The following is a 20,978-nucleotide window of genomic DNA, read 5'->3' as shown; positions in this document are numbered from 1 at the left end:
GAATTTACCCATGGGAACACGGACTACTGTTTGCTATCATGATTATGTCTGAAAGCCTACAGATGCCTAAAGATAGGCTTCTAAATTCTCAGAAGACTCAAAACCTTTTTTTTTTTTTTTTTTGAGAAACAGTCTAGCTCTGTCACCCAGGCTGGAGTACGATGGCATGATCTTAGCTCACTGCAACCAACACCTCCCGGGTTCAAGTGATTCTCCCTCCTCAGCTTCCTGAGTAGCTGGGATTACAGGCATGCGCCACCATGCCCAGCTCATTTTTATATTTTTAGTAGAGACGGGGTTTCACCACGTTGGCCAGGCTGGTCTCGAACTCCTGACCTCAAGTGATCCACTCGCCTCAGACTCCCGAAGTGCTGGGATTACAGGTGTGAGTCGCCGCACCCAGCCAGAAGACTCAAAATATATGCGACAACGCTGTATGATTTAGGGTAGTCACCAAAAGTACTCTATGCTCATACAGTAGGTACTCATTTTAGAGAATGCTCAGTTTACTAGTCGCACAACACATGGGAAGTAGACATTGTAAAAATAATCAAGATATTTTGGTATAAAAACAAGTGTTGGCCGGGCGCGGTGGCTGAAGCCTGTAATCCCAGCACTTTGGGAGGCCGAGGCAGGTGGATCATGAGGTCAGGAGATCGAGACCATCCTGGCTAACACGGAGAAACCCCGTCTCTATTAAAAATACAAACAATTAGCCGGGCATGGTGGTGGGCGCCTGTAGTCCCAGCTACTCAGGAGGCTGAGGCGGGAGAACGGCGTGAACCCGGGAAGCAGGGCTTACAGTGAGCCGAGATGGCGCCACTGCACTCCAGCCTGGGTGACAGAGCAAGACTCCGTCTCAAAAACAAAACAAAACAAGTGTTGCTGGGCGCAGTGCCTCACATCTGTAATCCCAGCAATTTGGGAGGCTGTCTCTACTAAAACTACAAATATTAGCCAGGCGTGGTGGTGCATGACGCATGCCTGTAATCCCAGCTACTCACGGGATGGCTCATGCCTGTAATCCCAAAACTCTGGAAATTCCATCTCTACTAAAAATACAAAAATTAGCCTGGCATGGTGGCACGTGCCTGTAATCCCAGCAACTCAGGAGGCTGAGGTGGGAGAATGGCGTGAACCTGGGAGGCGGAGCTTGCAGTGAGCTGAGGTCGCACCACTGCACTCCAGCCTGGGTGACAGAGCAAGACTCCGTCTCAAAAACAAAAAACAAAACAAAAACAAAAAACAAAAAACAAAAAACAAAACAAGTGTTGCTGGGCGCAGTGCCTCACACCTGTAATCCCAGCAATTTGGGAGGCTGTCTCTAATAAAATTACAAATAATAGCCGGGCGTGGTGGTGCGTGGCGTATGCCTGTAATCCCAGCTACTCACGGGATGGCTCATGCCTGTAATCCCAACACTTTGGAAATTCCATCTCTACTAAAAATACAAAAATTAGCTGGGCATGGTGGCACGTGCCTGTAATCCCAGCTACTCAGGAGGCTGAGGCAGGAGAATCGCTTGAATCTGGGAGGTGGAGGGTGCAGTGAGCCGAGGTTGTGCCACTGCACTCCAGCCTGGATGACAGAGCAAGACTCCATCTCAAAACAACAACAACAACAACAAACACGTGTTATGCTTAACTTCCTAACAAAAAGGAATTACTCATTAGAGATATCTATTAGAAGGGAATCTTATAAGCAACAAACTTTTTTTTTTTTTGGTAGAACAAATATTTTGCTTACTCGAGGACAGCGATGAGACTCTCAGAACAATCTGACAGCTGATCAGGACTTAAAGGACAAGAGGCTGAAAACAAAACAAAAAAACAACCATGATATACACACACTCAACTATAAAATGCTGTAGCCAATGTTTCAGAGAGCGAAATACCTGAAAGCAGTGGTATCTGTATCACACGCTGCCACGCTTTGCTGAAGTAGGGAACCTGTGAAAACAAGTCCACGTTTGGGATATTCATGTTAAGGATATTACAAACTCTCTTTAATTTGCAGTCTAGGCCAGGCGCGGTGGCTCACACCTATAATCCCAGCACTTTGAAAGGCTGAAGCAGGTGAATCACTTGAGGTCAGGAGTTCGAAACCAGCCTGGCCAATATGGCAAAACCCCGTCTCTACTAAAAATACAAAAATTAGCCAGGCATGGTGGTGCATGCTTGTAATCCCAGCTACTCGGGAGGCTGAGACACAAGAATCGCTTGAACCCGGGAGGCGGAGGTTGCCTGGGTGACAGAGCGAAACTCCATCTCGAAAAAGGTATTATGAACTCTCTTTAAATTGCAGCCTAAATGTTCTGAAATTAGATAATGGTGATGGTTGTACAATTTTATGAATATAGCAGAAACTACTTGATTGTATACTTTCAAAAGGATGAATTTTACAAGTGAATTGTATCTCAACAAAAAAATTAGATAAATCGCTATGCGCTGATACGGAACACTCTCTAGAGGCCGCTGTTAAATGGTCACAAAACTGTACATTTATAGTTTATATTCCAGATGACTAAAATCATAAGCTGATATCTCCCTGTTTGAGATGATTAAGGTTCTAGCATAATGTTCTTCATAACTGTATCTTTCAGGATCTCATTATACAATCCTTGCTGATTCATTATTCCATTTGGCAAAAAGTCAGAACCCAACTCAGAAAAGAAAATTAATCCTTAGCCGGTTATGTGCCAGGGCCACAGGAAAGAAGGAAGGGGACAAGAGAAAGAATTTCAAGAAGGTGAATAAGGAAAGAACACTGGCCAGGCGCGGTGGCTCACACCTGTAATCCCAGTACTTTGGGAGGCCAAGGCAGGAGGATTGTTTCAGCTCAGGAGTTCTAAGACCAGCCTAGGCAACATAGCAAGACCTCCATCTCTATACATTTAAAGAAAAAAAAGAGGAAAGAAAATGTAAACTTCCATCAATAGAGGAGTGGTTAAGTAACTTCAGGTATATTTTACCACATATTCTGGAGAATAATCAAGCATTAAAAATAATAAAATACCTCAAAAGGCTAAACATAGAGTTACTGTAAGACCCAACAAGCCCACTTCTAGGTATATACTCAGGAGAAATGAAAACATGTTCAGTGAAAACTTGTACACAAATGTTCATAGCAGCATTATTTATAATGACCAAAAATAGAAACTCAAATCTTTATCAACTGGCAAATGGATAAATAAAAGTGGTATATCCATATAATGGAACATTATTTGGCAATAAAGACGAATGAAGTTCTGATCCATGCTACAATGTGGATGCTGAGTGAAAGAAGCCGGACACAAAATCCCACATAGTGTGGGATTCTGTTGATACAAAATGTCCAGAATAGGCAAATCCATGGACAGAAAGTAAATTAGTGGTCACTGGGGGCTGGAGGGAGTGGGGAATGGGGAATGATTGCTAATGGATATGAATTTTCTTTTTGGGGTGAGGAAAATGTTCTGGAATTAGATAATGGTGAGGCTGTACAACTCTGTGCATATACCAAAAACTACTTCATTGTGTATTTTAAAAGGATAAATTTTACATGTGAATTGTATCTCAATAAAACAATTAGATAGATCTACATGTGCTGATATGGAACAATCTCCAGAGACCACTGTTATGTGAAAACAACACTTTGTTTAGAATGTGATTGCATTTATGTGTGCAAAAATGCATATATACACTGTAGATATGCACACACATAGCATACATGCCTGTAAAACAGGAAATCTCGGCCGGGTGCGGTGGCTCACACCTGTAATCCCAGCACTTTGGGAGGCCGAGGCAGGCGGATCACAAGGTCAGGAGATCGAGACCATCCTGGCTAACACGGTGAAACCCCGTCTCTATTAAAAATACAAAAATTAGCAGGGCGTGGCGGCATGCGCCTGTAGTCCCAGCTACTCAGGAGGCTGAGGCAGGAGAATAGCGTGAACCCAGCAGGCGGAGCTTGCAATGAGCCGAGATCACACAACTGCACTCCAGCCTGGGCAACAGAGCGAGACTCCATCTCAAAAAAAAAAAAAAGGAAATCTCTAGAATACATAGGAAATTGTAAGCAGTCGTTCCCTTAGGGAGATAATTATGAAGGGAAAGAGTAAGGGGGAATTTTCATGTTTTACTCAGCATACTTCTATATTGTTCTAATTTATCAAACAAAGAATAAATTATATATTTCTGCGTAATATATATTATGATTATATGGGTACACAACTTATGTGAAATGTAGAAAAGATGAACAAGCCAGGGTATCTGACATGAAAGATCTTCAAAGTCTGTGAGGGGCAGTCCAACATATAATTAAAACTAATTATATGGTGACAAAAGTCAGAGTGGAGCCAAAATGTCTTGAGAGCATAAATAAAGATGTGACTCGTGAGGCCTGGAAAACTCAGGAAAACAGTATCTTCAGGAGGTGATGTGAGCTGAGTATTAACGGGTCCGGGCACAACTTTAATCATCCTACAGCTGATTAGTTCTGTTTCTTCTTTCTTTATTTTAGGGAAAGGATCTAGCTCTGTTCCCCAGGCCGGAGCTGGAGTGCAATGGTGCAATCACGGCTCACTGCAGCCTCAAACTCCTGGGCTCAAGTGATCCTTCCACCTTGGCCTCCCAAAGCGTTGGGGTTACAGGAGTGAGCCACTGTACTTGGCTCAGTTCTGTTATTTAAGAAGGAGCTGACTGCTTAATCCAGTGTCCCCAGCAGTCACAAGGCCAGAAAGTATAAAGACTAAATTCAATAAAATTTATTTTAAAAAACTACATACCTGCCATAAAGAATGGATACTGGAGATGGCTTTTAAAACTTTCCTTAGATAAGGAATCTGTAAAAAATTAAAAATAAAAAAGTTCTAAAGACCACCAAAATGGAAAATTTCAATGTGAAATACCAGATGTTAAAGTTCCAGAAGAAGTACTGGTAAAACGTTATCTTCCATGATAACTGCCAGAGAAGTTCACTTACAAGTTCATAAATATCAAAAAAGGCTAGGGAACCTTCCATTTGTTTCCAATGAAATTTATGTCATTTTGGATTTTGCACTCTCTGGTCTAACACCAAGTTCTTTAAGTTTGGCATGAGCTCAGTGAGAGTGACTGTGTTTTCAGCATAAATCTGTTCCATAACAAGTATCAATCCAAAATGTTTAGGGGATGCTGTGCAAAAGCTTTCAAATATACTTAGTCGAGGGCATTGAGTCTTACTTACCATATTGAAGCCCAGAAGCTTTTGCAAGAGTCCATTCCAAAGCTGCAGGTCATAGATTTTGTATTCTAAACACAGCTCAGTCACCAATCTTACTGCCTGAAGCCAAAAAAAGAAAAAAATCATGCTATTCCAAGACACCAGTAAATCAAGCCATCTTTGGAAAAGTAGGGCAGCTTAATACAAAATATGCTGCTTTTTTTTTTTTTGAGATGGAGTCTCACTCTGTTGCCCAGGCTGGAGTGCAGTGGCATGATCTCAGCTCGCCACAACCTCCACCTCCTGGGTTCAAGCGATTCTCCTGCCTCAGCTTCCCGAGTAGCTGGGATTACAGGCGGCCGCCATCATGCCTGGATAATTTTTGTATTTTTAGTAGAGACGGGGTTTCACCATGTCGGGCAGGCTGGTCTCGAACTCCTGACCTGAAGTGCTCTACCTGCCTCGGCCTCCCAAAGTACTGAGATTACAGGCATGAGCCACTGCGCCCGGCCACAAAATATGCTTCTAATCTGTGAATGTCTATCGAAGACCCCCATCTTTCTAATGAAAGACATGACAAAAAAGATTATTTTTCTTGCTGTCATGGACTCAGACACCACCTCGGATGTCTCCCCCTTTCTTTCTTCTATTGAAAAAGTTTGCCTGTTGGACCAAAAAACCTTCCTGCCCCAGCCTCCAACTGACTCAGAGGCTAAATCCCATAGGCAACTAAGAGGAAGAGAAATGACATCCTCTGTCTACCGGACAGTCTCCTCTCCCTGTCCAGATAAGGACAGATAAGCCGTGGAAGAGATTATAAAAGTGCTCTCTCTGGTTGGCAGGGATGACTTTAGCTGGTGGACTTTAAGGCAAAAGAGGTAAAAGGACCTTCCACACTGCCTTATCCATCCACACGCTGTGACAGGAGAGTAGAAAGGTCTCAGAGCAGTAGAGTTGCTCAGGGATACAGACTGTTCCTGGGTCGGGTGCAGTGGCTCATGCCTGTAATCCCAGTACTTTGGGAGGCCCAGGTGGGTGGATCACCTGAGGTCAGGAGTTCGAGACCAGCCTGGCCAATATGGTGAAACCTCATCTCTACTAAAAATACAAAAATTAGCCAGGTGTGGTGGGCGGGCGCCTATAATCCCAGCTACTTGGGAGGCTGAGGCTTGAACCCGGGAGATGGAGGTTGCAGTGAGCTGAGATCACACCACTGTACTCCAGCCTGGGCAACAGAGCAAAACTCTGTCCCCAACAACAACAACAACAAAAAGACTGTTCCTGGTTTTCTCTTTCAGGATTCTGAGTAGGGGCAGGGAATTGGGAATGGGGCAGTGAGGTGTACCTACCATGGACTCGTGGCTGTGGTTTTTCCACAGACCCTTAATCATTCCTTCTTTAGGACTGCTGCAAAATAATTCATATGTGATGGGGATATTCAAAGTCTCAAATGATGCCAGAAAAGTTATACATCTCAAATAAGATCTGGAAAACAGAAACGTTTCTAAGAATCATTCTCATAGGCCACATTTACATTTAAAATAAAAACTACCATATGGAAATATTAGGCCAGTTTGTTTTAAATGTCCATTTTGGACTTCCAAATATATTCACTGAATATATAATAACATTAGATAGAAATCAATTTGAACAAGATAAATAAAACATTCAGTTTCTAAATGTCTCCAAGAAACGATGGAAACAAGATGTTCTCAAAGCCCTATTTTCCCTTTGCCAAAATGTCAAGGATATTCAGGGCAACAGAACTGTATTCACACAGCTACTCTACTATGCTCTTCTGAATTCAGGGCTTAAAAGGTACAGCTCCAAAAAATGATCTGTTTCCTATTTCTTAATACAATTTAAACATTTCTACTTACTTCACTTCTTCAATGGGTTTTTTAAAGAGAGATTCTATAGTTTCCTTGTCAGCCAAATAGAAGAGACACTGAAGAGCTCGAGTTCTATGGGCAAAAGTTAACTGATGCATACCTAATGTCTGAAAAACCAAAAGAGGTTTGGAGAGTTGAACACCTGCACATTGTAGTTGGGTAAATGAGTTTCAACATAGGCAACATAAACAACGTCATTATTTTAAAATGTAAAGTCAATCTCTACAGTTACGGAACGCACTGTGTGTAACAGTGGTTCTTAACATGTGGTCCATGGACCCCTGAAGGGGCATTCCTGAGACTCCTTCAAGAGGGAAAGGGTCAAAGCTGTTTTCATGATACTAAGATGTTATTTGCCTTTACACTGTGTTGATATTTGCACTGACTGTGCAAAAGCAATGGTGGGTGAAATTGCAGGCAGAATGGAGGGAGGGCCCCCAACTGTTGTTGCAGCCCTTGTATTTACAGGCATGCCCTGGCAGTACTGAAAACCAAAGAGGTGGCCGGGCACAGTGGCTCACGCCTGTAATCCCAGCACTTTGGGAGGCCGAGGCGGGTGGATCATGAGGTCAGGAGTTCAAGACCAGCCTGACCAACATGGTGAAACCCACGTCTCTACTAAAAATACAAAAATTAGCCGGGTGTGGTAGCACGTGCCTGTAATCCCAGCTACTCAGGAGGCTGAGGCAGGAGAATCATTTGAACCCGGAGGCGGAGGTTGCAGTGAGCTGAGATCGCGCCACTGCACTACTCCAACCTGGGCAACAGAGTGAGACTCTCTCTCAAAAAAAAAAAAAAGAAAAAGAAAAAGAAAAAGAAAACCAAAGACAAATTTCACTTAATGTTCTTGATGGGCTGGGTGCAGTGGCTCACGCCTGTAATCCCAGCACTTTGGGAGCCCGAGGTGGGTGGATCACCTGAGGTCAGGAGTTCGAGACCAGCCTGGCCAACATGGTGAAACCCCGTCTCTACTAAAAATACAAAAATTAGCCAGGCGTGGTGGCGTGCGCCTGTAATCCCAGCTACTCGGGAGGCTGAGGCAGGAGAATTGCTTGAACCCGGGAGGCGGAGGTTGCAGTGAGCCAAGATTGTGCCACTGCTCTCCGACCTGGGTGACAGAGCAAGACTCCATCTCAAAAAAAAAAAACACAAAAAAAAACCAGAATGTTCTTGATGAAGTAGTAAAAATTAATTTTACTAAACCTCAACTTTTGAATCCACAGTCAGCCCCCATTTCCATGGGTTCTGTATTCGTGGAATCAACCAACAGTGGATCAAAAATACTCAAGAAAAAAAAAAAATCCACAAAGTTCTAAAAACCAAACATGAATTTGCTGCATGCCAAGTACTACACTGAATCCATGGGGACGAAGTGATTTGCAGGCATTGTGTTATAAGTAGCCTAGAGATGATTTAAGGTATATAGGAGGATGTATGTAGGTGACATGCAAATATGACACCGTTTTATATGAAAGACTTGAGCGTCCTCAGATTTTGGTATCCTTGGGGGTCCTGGAACCAGTCCTCCCACAGATACGGAAAGATTACTGTATATCATACTAATGTGAATTCCCATTTGAATACATGCTAATACTAATTAATGGGAAGTACACATAAGGCAGACTGCAAAGAAAAGCATGTACACAGCTGAGCTGTGAGCTGCACTAGCCACCTTTCATGGAATACCATTTTTAGGTCGTAAGTCTTTATATGTAGAGAATATAAGGGGAGGCTTTTTCCTTTTTGTCACGGACTTTAAAATCAGCACCTCAGACTTCCTTTTCTTCCTTTTCTCTGAGAATCATTTGCCTACTGGCTCCATCCCCTTCTCCTCTCTCTGCTCCAACTGCCTCAGAGGACATTTCTATAGGCAAGAACCTGAAGCTAAAGGTCATATTGCCGTTAGGGGAAATTGCAAGTTCAATCTAGCTAGAATTTAGTGGGCAGAAGGGGTGGTCTGACCAGAGCATGCAGCCAGATTAGGCCTTGGTGGAGACTTGTTTGTGGACAGTTTGTTTGGCTCCTGGCTTCAGGAATGTGGACTGACCAGGGAGTTAACCACTGTGAATGCAGACAGCCAGTGGAAACTGTCAATAGGTGCACCATTCAGCACGCTAAGCAGATGTTACAGAGACCAGAACTAAATGGAGCATGGTGCAAGACAATGCTTGCTTAGGAGATGAGACAGACTTTGAATACATATGTACGTGAGCATTATCTGAATCATCTGTTAATGCAATCAAGCATGGTAAATAAACAGGAAAAAAATGTTAAGCTGAGATGCACAGAAGAGTTTGGATTAAGTTTCTAGAGCTTACGGTTGTAGTTGATGTTGCAAATACAAACAGCATTCTTGAACTATAATCAATTGGACGAGACAGGAGGAGATACTGCACTCTGGAAAAAAAATTTTAATTACAGTCATTTTTTAATTTAGTGATGGATTACCAAAACAACAGACTTATCTTTCTATCCATGGAACGGTCATTAGACAACTCAAAGGCAGATCAGAAGGATAATGGGTCAATGACATTTGCGCTTCCCCCTTTAAAGAATGCTTAATCTTTTTCTTGAGTTCTTTCATTGCTAAAGATGATAATACACACAATAAACGCCAGGCTTCAGCCTCCTCATCTATAGAATAGCTAGTCAATCTCTGATCCCTTAAATTTTATTTAAGAAATTAATACAAACTGTAGCTGTAAAGTCCCTTGAATGCTACACATGGGAAATTCTGTGTTTGGTATGCAGGACCTTGTTAGCAGCCCATTTCAACCTCTAGACCCAGGGCAGGCTGGCCCCTCTCCGGGAAGGGAGGATGAATCAGGCCAGCTGGAGGAGGGGTGGGGCAGAGCTTTTAGTGGAAAAAGCAGCACGTTATGAATTTTGCATTAAGTAGCCTTTTGGGATTTCCTTTTTCTCTCCTCTTTAAATCGCTTCCCTCCAAGACCTTCCACGTGCCTAGTTCAGGTAGACATACCAGGAGCTACTTCTTGTTTGAACAAAGGTGGCCTTTCCCTTAAAAGACTAAATGAGGCCAAGGTGCGGGTCCAGAGGGAAAGAGGGCATGGTATGGGTGATTAGGACAGCTTTGCTTGTTCCAAACCAGAAGGAATCCGTTTCTTGGGGTTGTCTTTCCACATCTTTTCTATCAGCTCTCCAAGGCTGAGGCTGGACATAGGGCCTCCCCAGGCCACTTGGCTTACTTTTGGTTTAGGCTAGAAAGACAAAAAGCTGGCTGGCATGTGAACCACCATGCTCCCTTATCCATGCCTGTGCCAGGCATCATTAATGGATTGCCACATTCGTTCTGACTTGAGCCCAGATAGAGTCTTCTCAAGAATACAAGCCATAACCAATCAGATCTAGCACATTAGATAAAATCAATGTGCCTTTCTAGGCCTCAGTCGTAGGTTAGAAGAGCAAAAAGAATCTGGTGGCCCATATCTGAACCAACCCAGTTTAGCATGGTAAGAGAACATAAAAGGGTCTGGGGCCAAAGTCCTAGCTAAGAAAGAGTTTTCTTCTGCTTGAGAGGCACCTTTCAGCTAAAGGTGTGCTAGGAACCCTCGCCCTCGCAGGAGTTCAGAAATTCTAGATCTTGGCTGGCTCTGATGTTTTCCACTGCAGACTCCTAGCCACGTATTAGTGAACTGATTCATCTCATAGACTCTGACCTGAGTTTTATCAAGAAAGCCCTTTAAAAAAATCAACTGCTGAAAAATGTACTGGTAAGATTTCTATTTTGCATCACGATATAGGTGAATATAAGTAAAGGAAAAGAGTACCTTCGTAGGGCTTCATCTTCTTGAAGTTCAAATAATTCTGATGGTTTCTTTGAAAAGGTAGGAAAAAAAGGTCAAAAACTGAAAAAGTTTATGACTAAACAAACATTCATCTCTCTGAAAATCTATTAGATAAAAAACCTAATATACGATATTATGTTTACATTGAAAAATTATAACATAAATTATGAAAAGATTTTTGCTTAACTGATGGGTCTACTCATATTTGTTTACTCAACAAATATTCACTGAGCACTTACTATATGATAGACACAATTCTAAGTATATAGATTGCCTGAGTAAATAAAGCAAATGTTCCTGTCCTCCTGGAGCTGACATGCATTGGATTTTTATTTTTATTTATTTTTATTTTTGGAGACAGGATCTTGCTCTGTCACTCAGGCTGGAGTACAGTGGCACAACCACGGCTCAGTGCAGCCTCAACCTCCTGTGCTCAAGCAATCCTCTTGCCTCAGCCTCCTAAGTAGCTGGGACCACAGGTGCACACCATGGCACCTGGCTAATTTTTTAAATTTTTGTAGAGATGGGGGTCTCACTATGCTGCTCAGGCTGGTCTCAAACCCCTCGCCTCAAACAATCCTCCCACCTCAGCCTCCCAAAGTGCTGAGATTACAGTCATGAGCTACCTTGCCCAGCCCCGTATTAGATAATTTGTAAAAGGAAAAGACTCCATGAATTTTAAATGAGCCATTTGTTAATTCAGTATATATCTGTTGGGATTTACAAAGTACTGTACTAGGTGCTATGTATACATGCAGTTTCTGGCCTCAAGGAACTTTTAGTGTGTACCTTGAACTTACATGTAAGTTAAAACATCTGTAAAGGCTGGTTTCTAAAAGTCAACCACATATTCTACGTGGCCAAGATGTTTCTAACTCCTGTTTCCACTGAAGCACAGTCCATGCTCTTGGTAAATACTTTAAAAATCCTTGTTGAATCAAATGCCAAATGATATAAAAATTGCTAATTAAAAACCTAATGGTGGCCAGGTGCAGTGGTTCACACCTGTAATCCCAGCACTTTGGGAGGCCGAGGTGGGTGAATCACCTAAGCTCAGGAGTTCGAGATCAGCCTGGGCAACATGGCGAAAACCCATCTCTAGTAAAAATACTAAAAAAATTAGCCGGGCACAGGTAATTTTTTAAAAGTAGCTGGGACACCTGCAGTCCCAGCTACTCTGGAGACTGAGGCATGACAATCACTTGAGCCGGGGAGGCGGAGGCTGTAGTGAACTGAGATCATGCCACTGCTCTAGCCTGGGTGGCTGAATGAGACCCTATCTCAAACAAACAAACAAAACCCTAATGTCATATTACACTATTTGTTTACAAATAGATTTTGTTCCCCCAAGAATATCTGCCTAGGTGGATATAGGAATTATAGAATCTACCTCAAGTTCTGCCTGAAAATTCAGAAGAAATGATACAGAAGATCTGGATTTGCTGAATCCTATCTTAAATTTTAGTTGTTAATGATGCTATTTCTTAAAAACTGACATTATGTGCTTCCTGGTGTGATCCTTTGAAAGTAATACATCACCTATACAGTATTGTTGCCAAAAGCACATAACCTGAATCAAATCACAAGAAACATTAGCAGACCCAAAATGAAATATTTTATAAACCAACTGGCCTGTGCTCTTCAAAAACATCAATAAATCAGGTGTGCAGGGGTAGAGGAAAGGAGTTGGAAGAGGAATGGAATATTGTATCATCCTAAAATATTTCCTCTAATAATTACAAAAGGAAAAATAGTAATTATGGAGTAGAGAAACAGACAACACCGTAACCAAGTTACCTAAATTAACATCACCTGTGAGGGCAAAGGGACCTCATGTGCCTCCAAATGTCATACCCTGAGGAGGGCACAACACAACTTATGCAGTATGATGCTAAAAATAAGTAATTTGAATATTACCATGAGGCAGTATTAGACAAGCGCAAATTGGAGGGCAGCTTATGAAACAGCTGGATTTCACTCTTCAAAAATGTCAATATCATAAAAGACAAGAAAAAGTCACAGAACTGTTACAGATTAAAACAGACTAGAGGCCAAGCACGGTGGCTCATGCCTGTTATACCAGCACTTTGGGAGGCCAAGGTGGAAGGAACATATGAGGCCAGGAGTTCGAGACCAGCCCGGCCAACATGGTGAAACCCCATCTCTACTAAAAGTACAAAAATTAGCTGGGCATGGTGGCGGGCGCCTGTAATCCCAGCTACTTGGGAGGCTGAGACATGAGACTCGCTTGAACCCAGGAGGTGGGGGTTGCAGTGAGCTAATATTGTACCACTGCCCTCCAGCCTGAGCAATGGAGCCAGACTCTGTGTCAAAAAAACAAAAACAGACTAGAGACATGACCAACAAATGCAAGGCATAGTCCTAGACAAGATCCTGGACCTGGGGGAGAAAACTGCTTATATAAAAAACGTTATTAGGACAATTGGTGTAACTGCAAAATGGACCATAAATTCAATTATATCACCATTAAATTTCTGATTTTGATAATTATATTATGGTTGGATTAGAGAAAATCCTGTTCTTGGGAAATACACCTTTAAAATATTCAGGGGGTAAGGGGGCATGCCACGTGCAATTTACTCTCCAATGGTTCAGAAAAATATCGTAAGAGTATCAATTATAGAGGAGAGATGAAGCAAATATGGCAAAATGTTAAAAATTCATGGATCTCGGTGAAAGGTGTATATAGGAATTCTTTTTTTACTATTTTTGCATTTTTGTGTACATTTTAAATTATTTCAAAACAAAAAGTTAATCACATGAATCTGAGTAAAAGAACAGGCCATTTCTTTCATACAAGACAGCATCTGAAATCATCAACTGAAAGGTAAAACAGCTACAAAACAATATTTAAACAAAAAGTAAGCAACCACAGGCCAGGCGTGGTGGCTCATGTCTGTAATCCCAACACTTTGGGAGGCCAAGGCGGGCGGATCACCTGAGGTCGGGAGTTCAAGACCAGCTTGGCCAACATGGTGAAACCCCAACTCTACTAAAAATACAAAAATTAGCTGGCCATAGTGGCGCACACCTGTAACCCCAGCTACTCGGGAAGCTGAGGAGGGAGAATCTCTTGAACCTCGGCAGAGGTTGCTGAGATCACGCCACTGCACTCCAGACTGGATGACAGAGTAAGACTCTGTATCCAAAAAAAAAAAAAAAAAAAAAAGTAAACAATCTCTTTAAAACTTATCAGATAACAGAGGGTACTATAATGAACAAAAGTTCCAGACAGGCACAGTGGCTTATGCCTGTAATCCCAGCATTTTGGGAAATCGAGGCGGGAGGATCACTTGAGGCCAGGAGTTTGAGACCCGCCTAGCCAACAAAGTGAGAGACCCTGTCTCTACAAAACAAACAAACAAACAAAAAAAACAAAACATTAGCCACACATGGTGATGCACACGTGTAGTCCCAGCTACTCGGGAGGCTGAGGTGGGGAGGACTGCTTGAGCCTAGGAATTCGAGTCTGCAGTAAGCCATGATTGTGCCATTGCACTTGCCAGGGTGACAGAGCGAAACTCTGTCTTTAAAAAACAAACAAAAGAGGCCAGGTGCAGTGGCTCACGCCTGTAATCCCAGCACTTTGAGAGGCTGAGGCAGGAGGATCACAAGGTCAGGAGTTCGAGGCTAGTCTGACCAACATGGTGAAACCCCGTCTCTACCAAAAATACAAAAATCAGCCGGGTGTGGTAGCAGGCGCCTGTAATCCCAGCTACTCGGGAGGCTGAGGCAGGAGAATCACTTGCACCCAGGAGGCAGAGGTTGCAGTGAGCCGAGACCGCGCCATTACACTCCAGCCTGGGCAACAAGCAAGACTCCATCTCAAAAACAAAACAAACAAAGAAACTTCCTTCTTTGAAGAGTCTGCGCTCCTAATTAGAAGGCTGTATCATGTGGGATAAATATTTAGCCTTTGAGAAGAAGCCATCAGTGCATACTCAACTACAGATACTCTTGGGCAGCAAGTACTTACTTCACCAGGTTTTGTTGAAGGGCATAGCCATTTTTCCAACAACATGTCCCAGACTTTTTCCAAATTAATTTCATTGACTTCGGCTATTTCTTTAGCTGCTGCATGAATATCTAAGATATTCAAAATAAAGAAAAGAAAAACTCAAGTTTTAAATATTTATATTGAATACTTATATGTGTATGTGTATATATGCACATACATACACATATAAGTATATACATATATAAGCATATGTAAGTAATATATATGTACACGTACATATATACATAAAACTGAGAATCAAAATAATAGCTTTTCTTGGACAACAAAAAAATTGTTTTGTCCTCACCAGGATAATCTGTGCCAGATGAATTCTGAATTCTTTGATTGATGCTAGGATGTTCGTAGAGACTGACAATAAGATGTGCTGGCTTTCCGATCACTCTTAAATATTCCTCAGTGTTCAGCTTGTGGGCTATGAGCACAGCTTCTGTGCCCGATCGCCGGTACTGGATATGAAGCTTCTTCAACAAAGCCTCGGCTTTTTCACGTTTTTCGTCCTTTTAAACAATTCCAAGCAAAAAGAAAATCTTACTTTGTAAGCCTCAGTTGAAGCCAAGCATCCATCTTTATCAATCACAATCCCTCCCCCCTTCCTCAGTTATGTTCCTAAGCATCTACATAAAGCCTTGGTCTTCCTTCTCCATTTTAGGCACCAGGGCAGCATGAGAAGGTAAATTAAGCTAGTACAATTTAATTAGGAAGAAGAGAAGCCGCCAATCTGATAGTTCAGACACACCTGCGATGGGATATTCTGTAGCCATCTCTCAGCTAAATAAAGGCAGAATTTCAAAGCAGATATCTTGAAGGAACCTAAAATAAATAAATAAATAAATAAATAAAGATTTACAGGCAAATCTTAATCTTTTCAAGAAAATGTATTTTGGTCAAATTAGCAACTTTTTAAAAATTACAAAAATGCATACTCATGGCTGGGCACAGTGGCTCATATTTGTAATCCCAGCACTTTGGGAGGCCAAGGCAAGTGGATCACCTGAGGTCAGGAGTTTGAGACCACCCTGGCCAACACGGAAGAACCCTGTCTCTACTGAAAATACAAAAATTAGCTGGGCATGGTGGCACATGCCTGTAGTCCCAGCTACTCGAGAGGCTGAGGCAGAGGTTGCAGTGAGCCAAGATCACGCCACTGCACTCCAAACTGGGCGACAGAGCAAGACTCTGTTAAAAAAAAAAAAAAAAAAAAAAAAGCCCACCGGGGCCCTCTCATCAGATTCCATTCCTATTCTCTAAATTCTTATATGCCTTTAGGAGTTTTCTGTGTGTGTGTGTCAGTCTGTGTTCACACATGCATGCATGTGCATCTTAACCCTAATGGGTAATACCATACATATTCTAGTATAATTTGCTGTTCTCACTTCATATCTTGGATATCTCTCCAAATCAGCCCCATAATATTTCGTTCTATGAATACACCCTATTTTCTAACCAGTTCCTGACCTGAGCATTTTTTAAAAAGTCACTTTCAACTTTTGTTACAACCAAAAATGTAGCAGTGAGTGCCTATGCTTGTGCACCTGTTTGGTTATGTGAGACTATCTAAAGATTCCTCATTGAAAGTGCGATTGGGCCAGGTGCAGTGGCTCACGCCTGTAATCCCAGCACTTTGGGAGGCCGAGGCGGGCGGATCACAAGGTCAAGAGATCGAGATCATCCTGGCCAACATGGTGAAACCCCATCTCTACTAAAAATACAAAAATTAGCCGGGCATGATGGCGCGCACCTGTAGTCCCAGCTACTCGGGGGACTGAGGCAGGAGAATCACTTGAACCCGGGAGGTGGAGGTTGCGGTGAGCCAAGATCATGCCACTACACTCCAGCCTGGCGACAGAGCAAGACTCCATCTCAAAAAAAAAAAGAAAGTGTGATTGGATATTAAAAGTACCCATCACTGCCTATTCCTAGCAAAGGTCACACCCCAAAGGCGGCACAAGGACAAGTTGGAAATTGCCTGCCTCCCTGCCCATGCCCACTGCCCTTGAGCGTTTCAGCATTCACCACAGTTAAGAGAGCAAGCAAATACATTTGAAAACTACCATCCTGCTTCTCCTTAAAGATGCAAAAAGAGTACTTTTTTTTTTTTTTTAACTACAATTTTAAAAGAAGAGCTCATACCTTCAGGGATATCCTGGGCAAGGCTGATGGCAATAGCTACAGCCCACTCTGGGTTGACTATAGAGAGTAAGCAGGATTCGATGGTCTGCGTGATCTTAGTTATTTCCTTGTTAATCAGTGTTGAGGATTTAGCTTGTGTTAACTTCAGGAGCTTTGGCTTCAGTTTTTTTTCGAAAACGTGTTTTGCTGTAGACACGTACAGAGTGTCCAGAGAGAACTTCAAAGAAAAGGAAGGTTATGGCTGAAGCACATATTCACATATAAGGTTTTACATGAAAGCAGCAGAAAAATCTTCTATACGGGGTCAGAATTAATTGCAGGATACAGAAATGTCTTACAATGTTTTAATCCATTACCTTCATTAATTTCGAAATTAAGAGCAATGTTGGGAAAGATTCTTCACTGAGTTCTGTAGCTAGAAAGGAAACAAGGAAAGTACGATTTGCTTAAGAAAAAAAATTTGGCTATCCAGTAAAATTCATAAAAAGTTAATGAACACATACAGAGAATTTTCCAGAAGTTCTGTGCTGTGCCAAAGAATATCAGGTGAAAAGGCAGTCTAGTTTGGGCAGCTGATGGCAAAGTTATGACATGTTCCAACATATACTGATATTCTAGATCCACGGGAGGAGAAATTCTTCTGTATGACTTCAAATGTTTCAGAATACTCAATGCCTATATTAAAATAAAAAACTTTTGTCCAGTAAGAGTAACCCAATCCTAAACTGTCATAAAATCATCTAATAGTATACCATCAAAAGTTTCCATTCCTGAGACCATCTTGTTTTCAGAAAGAGGATCAAAACCTTTTCTAGTATTCTCTTTAACATTATTCATCTAAACTATAATTTATATACAATGATTAAAGGAATCCTATGAGGAGAAACCACTGGTGCCCTGTTGTTGGTAGATGTTTTGTAAATAAGAGCTTGACAGTTATCTGCTCTTCAAATAATTTGAGATATAATTCAAAATACTTGATTTCATTTTAAATATAGAGGCTACAGATCTAAATTCTCTACGCTCTTATCTTTCCTATGTTTATATTTTATATTAGGACACTTTGTATAATCTTTTGAATTGATATATTTTCTTATATAATAAGTCTTATTAACATAATATTAAAATATTTCTAAAATATTAATTTCTAAAATCAAATTAAAAAGTATAAAAGCCACTATGACCAAAATTCAGAAACGATGAAGAAGTTAATGAAAGTACTGAGACATAATTGAGTAGGTCTTGGACCTACCCATTAATACACAGAGCTGACCTAACTCTCAGTCCCATGGCCTTTTTCACTTCCTACATGGCAAATGTTTCCTTAATTCTTCACAATTAGTTCTGTAGTGACTTCATACTCTTCGACAGCAGGAGAGGTTATTTAAATCACCTCAAAACAGCAAAAAAAGGATGAAGATAAGTGATAAAATAGGAATGTCATGAAAATCTTTTTCTTTTTTTAAAGATTTGTAAAGATTTTTAAAAACCTAAAATAAACCACAGAGTTTAAAGGGAATTCAATGGATAATTTGGAAAGGCCCTGGATAATGATATGATTTATGATCCAAATAAAAGCAGAAAGATGATTTTTACATCTTTGATATATTTGTTATACCTGATTAATATTAATATTGGTTATCTTTTCATCAGCTCGTTCTATAACTTTCAAGACAACTTCAATCATTTCATAGTCATAAGGATCCAACTGTATAAAAACAAAAATATATCAAAACTTGATAAGACTTTGCCATGTTGAAATTTTATTCAATTACAATAATCAGCACAGATTACAAATATAAAAATGTCACTGCACTACATTGTTAAATTAATTACTCCCTTAAAAATGAGCTACAATCGGCCGGGCACGGTGGCTCACGCCTGTAATCCTAGCACTTTGGGAGGCCGAGGCGGGTGGATCACGAGGTCAGGAGATCGAGACCATCCTGGCAAACACGGTGAAACCCCGTCTCTACTAAAAATACAAAAAAAAATTAGCTGGGCGTGGTGGTGGGCGCCTGTAGTCCCAGCTACTCGGGAGGCTGAGGCAGGAGAATGGTGTGAACCCGGGAGGCGGAGCTTGCAGTGAGCTGAGATTGCGCCACTGCACTCCAGCCTGGGTGACAGAGCGAGACTCCATCTCAAAAATAAATAATAAAAATAAAAAAATAAAGAGCTACAATTTTCTCACCTCTAAAATTACCTGTGAGGATAAACATACATGCTAAAAAAAGGTATCAAAGGCTGTTTTTAAAAGCTGCACAAGGCAGTCTTGTTTTAATAAAGAAGGATGCTCTTGCCTGTAATCCCAGCACTTTGGGAGGCCAAGGCGGGTGGATCACCTGGGGTCAAGAGTTCAAGACCAGCCTGGCCAACAGGGTGAAACCCCATCTCTACCAAAAATACAAAAATTAGCTGGGTGTGGTGGCATTCACCTGTAGTCCCAGCTACTTGGGAGGCGGAGGCAGGAGAATTGCTTGAACCTGGGAGGTGGAGGTTGCAGTGAGCTGAGATCACGCCACTGCTCTCCAGGCTGAACAAAAGAACCAGACTATGTCTCAAAAAAAAAAAAGAAGGAAGCTCTTAAGATACTAAAAGCATAGAAAGGGTAGGGGTATGGTCAAAATTTTATAAGATTTTGAAATTAAAGTTCCCTTTCTTTCATTTACGATGGGAAAATTGGAACAGAAAGAAACTGATCCTTTTCTTAGAAATGACATGAGTAAAACTGTGGGCCTCCAAGCAAGTTTCTCAAAGGATTCTGTTTTAGCTCTAACTATATACTATAGTGCAAGAATTAATTGTGTGGCATATATACATATTAACACAAAAAGAAAGGAAGTCAGGCTGGGTACAGTGGCTCATGCCTGTAATCCCAACACTTTGGGAGGCTAAGGCAGGTGGATCACCTGAGGTCAGGCATTTGAGACCAGCCTGGCCAACATGGCGAAATCTTGTCTCTATTAAAAATACAAAAATTAGCCGGCATGGTAGTGCGTGCCTGTAGTCCCAACTACTCAGGAGGCAGAGGCAGGAGAATCGCTTGAACCCAGGAGGCGGAGGTTGCAGTGAGCCAAGATCGTGCCATTACACTCCAGCCTGGACAACAGGGTGAGATTTCATCTCAAAACAACAACAACAACAAAAACAAAAACAAAAAAAGGAAGTCTTCTCTTTGTTCTTTCTTTCTACCCACACACCATTACTTTTTTCCTTTTTATTTTTGACACAGAGTCTCGCTCTGTCACCCAGGCTGGAGTGCAGTGGTGCAATCACAACTCACTGCAGCCTTGACCTCCTGGGCTCAAGCAATCCTCCCCTCTTCAGCTTCCCAAATAGCTGGGACTGCAGGCACGTACTACTAGGCCTAACTAATTAAAAAAATTTTTTGTAGTGACAAATTCTTACTATGTTCCCCAGGCTGGCCTATTTTTTAAATGCCAACAAAAGTCGCGTGAAAAACAACATTGAACAAAGTGGGAAGATGAAATATTGTTACCTAGAAATTTTGAGCAATCTATGTAATTTTTGGCTGAATTGCAAGCAAAATATAAAACTGAAATATTTATTTCAGGCTTAAAATTTTATTTCCAGGCTGGGCACAGTGGCTCATGCCTGTAATTCCAGCACTTTGGGAGGCTGAGGCAGGTAGATCACCTGAGGTCAGGAGTTCATGACCAGCCTGACCAACATGATGAAACCCTATTGCTGCTAAATATAAAAAATTAGCTGGACGTGGTGGCGCATGCCTGTAATCCCAGCTAGTTGGAAGGTTGAGGCAGGAGAACCCAGGAGGCAGAGGCTACAGCGAGCCGAGACTGCGCCATTAGACTCCAGCCTGGACAACAAGAGCAAAACTCCATCTCAGAAAAAAAAAAAATTTTTTTCCCTGCCATTCACCTTCATTTCTCCATTAAACTACCCCCTGAC

At 41.7% G+C, this 20,978-nt stretch overlaps 1 protein-coding gene across 9 annotated transcripts in view, besides 1 other annotated feature; it reads right to left on the bottom strand.

Moving 5' to 3' along the window:
* The window catches only part of KNTC1 (kinetochore associated 1), a 99,148-nt gene that overhangs the window by 6,105 nt on the left and 72,065 nt on the right, over positions 1 to 20,978 (bottom strand). For 3 of the 9 annotated variants that reach the window (NM_014708.6, XM_006719706.3, XM_017020255.3), the window contains 15 exons: positions 18,667 to 18,756; positions 17,552 to 17,723; positions 17,405 to 17,463; positions 17,049 to 17,265; positions 15,655 to 15,728; positions 15,205 to 15,415; positions 14,877 to 14,986; positions 10,862 to 10,908; positions 9,392 to 9,470; positions 7,062 to 7,180; positions 6,531 to 6,666; positions 5,206 to 5,301; positions 4,766 to 4,822; positions 1,895 to 1,949; positions 1,747 to 1,810 (listed from right to left, as the gene is read on the bottom strand). In NM_014708.6, coding sequence (NP_055523.1) covers positions 1,747 to 1,810; positions 1,895 to 1,949; positions 4,766 to 4,822; positions 5,206 to 5,301; positions 6,531 to 6,666; positions 7,062 to 7,180; positions 9,392 to 9,470; positions 10,862 to 10,908; positions 14,877 to 14,986; positions 15,205 to 15,415; positions 15,655 to 15,728; positions 17,049 to 17,265; positions 17,405 to 17,463; positions 17,552 to 17,723; positions 18,667 to 18,756 — 1,586 coding nt within the window. Of the gene's footprint in view, positions 1 to 1,746; positions 1,811 to 1,894; positions 1,950 to 4,765; positions 4,823 to 5,205; positions 5,302 to 6,530; positions 6,667 to 7,061; positions 7,181 to 9,391; positions 9,471 to 10,861; positions 10,909 to 14,876; positions 14,987 to 15,204; positions 15,416 to 15,654; positions 15,729 to 17,048; positions 17,266 to 17,404; positions 17,464 to 17,551; positions 17,724 to 18,305; positions 18,442 to 18,666; positions 18,757 to 20,978 lie in introns of those variants that run through there. The other 6 variants (XM_011539027.4, XM_017020254.3, XM_047429917.1 and 3 more) reach the window with 6 other exon arrangements.
* Positions 7,371 to 7,440: an enhancer, noted in NCBI's record as "active region_7232". NCBI's record gives its function as "activates an Ori minimal core promoter by ATAC-STARR-seq in GM12878 lymphoblastoid cells {active_cell/tissue: GM12878}" and the evidence as "EXISTENCE:reporter gene assay evidence [ECO:0000049][PMID:35858748]".

This window comes from Homo sapiens, chromosome 12 (assembly GCF_000001405.40).
Source record: "Homo sapiens chromosome 12, GRCh38.p14 Primary Assembly".
Lineage (NCBI taxonomy): Eukaryota > Metazoa > Chordata > Mammalia > Primates > Hominidae > Homo > Homo sapiens.
Note: the sequence above shows the minus strand (reverse complement) of the source record. Positions and strands in the feature narration are given on the sequence as shown.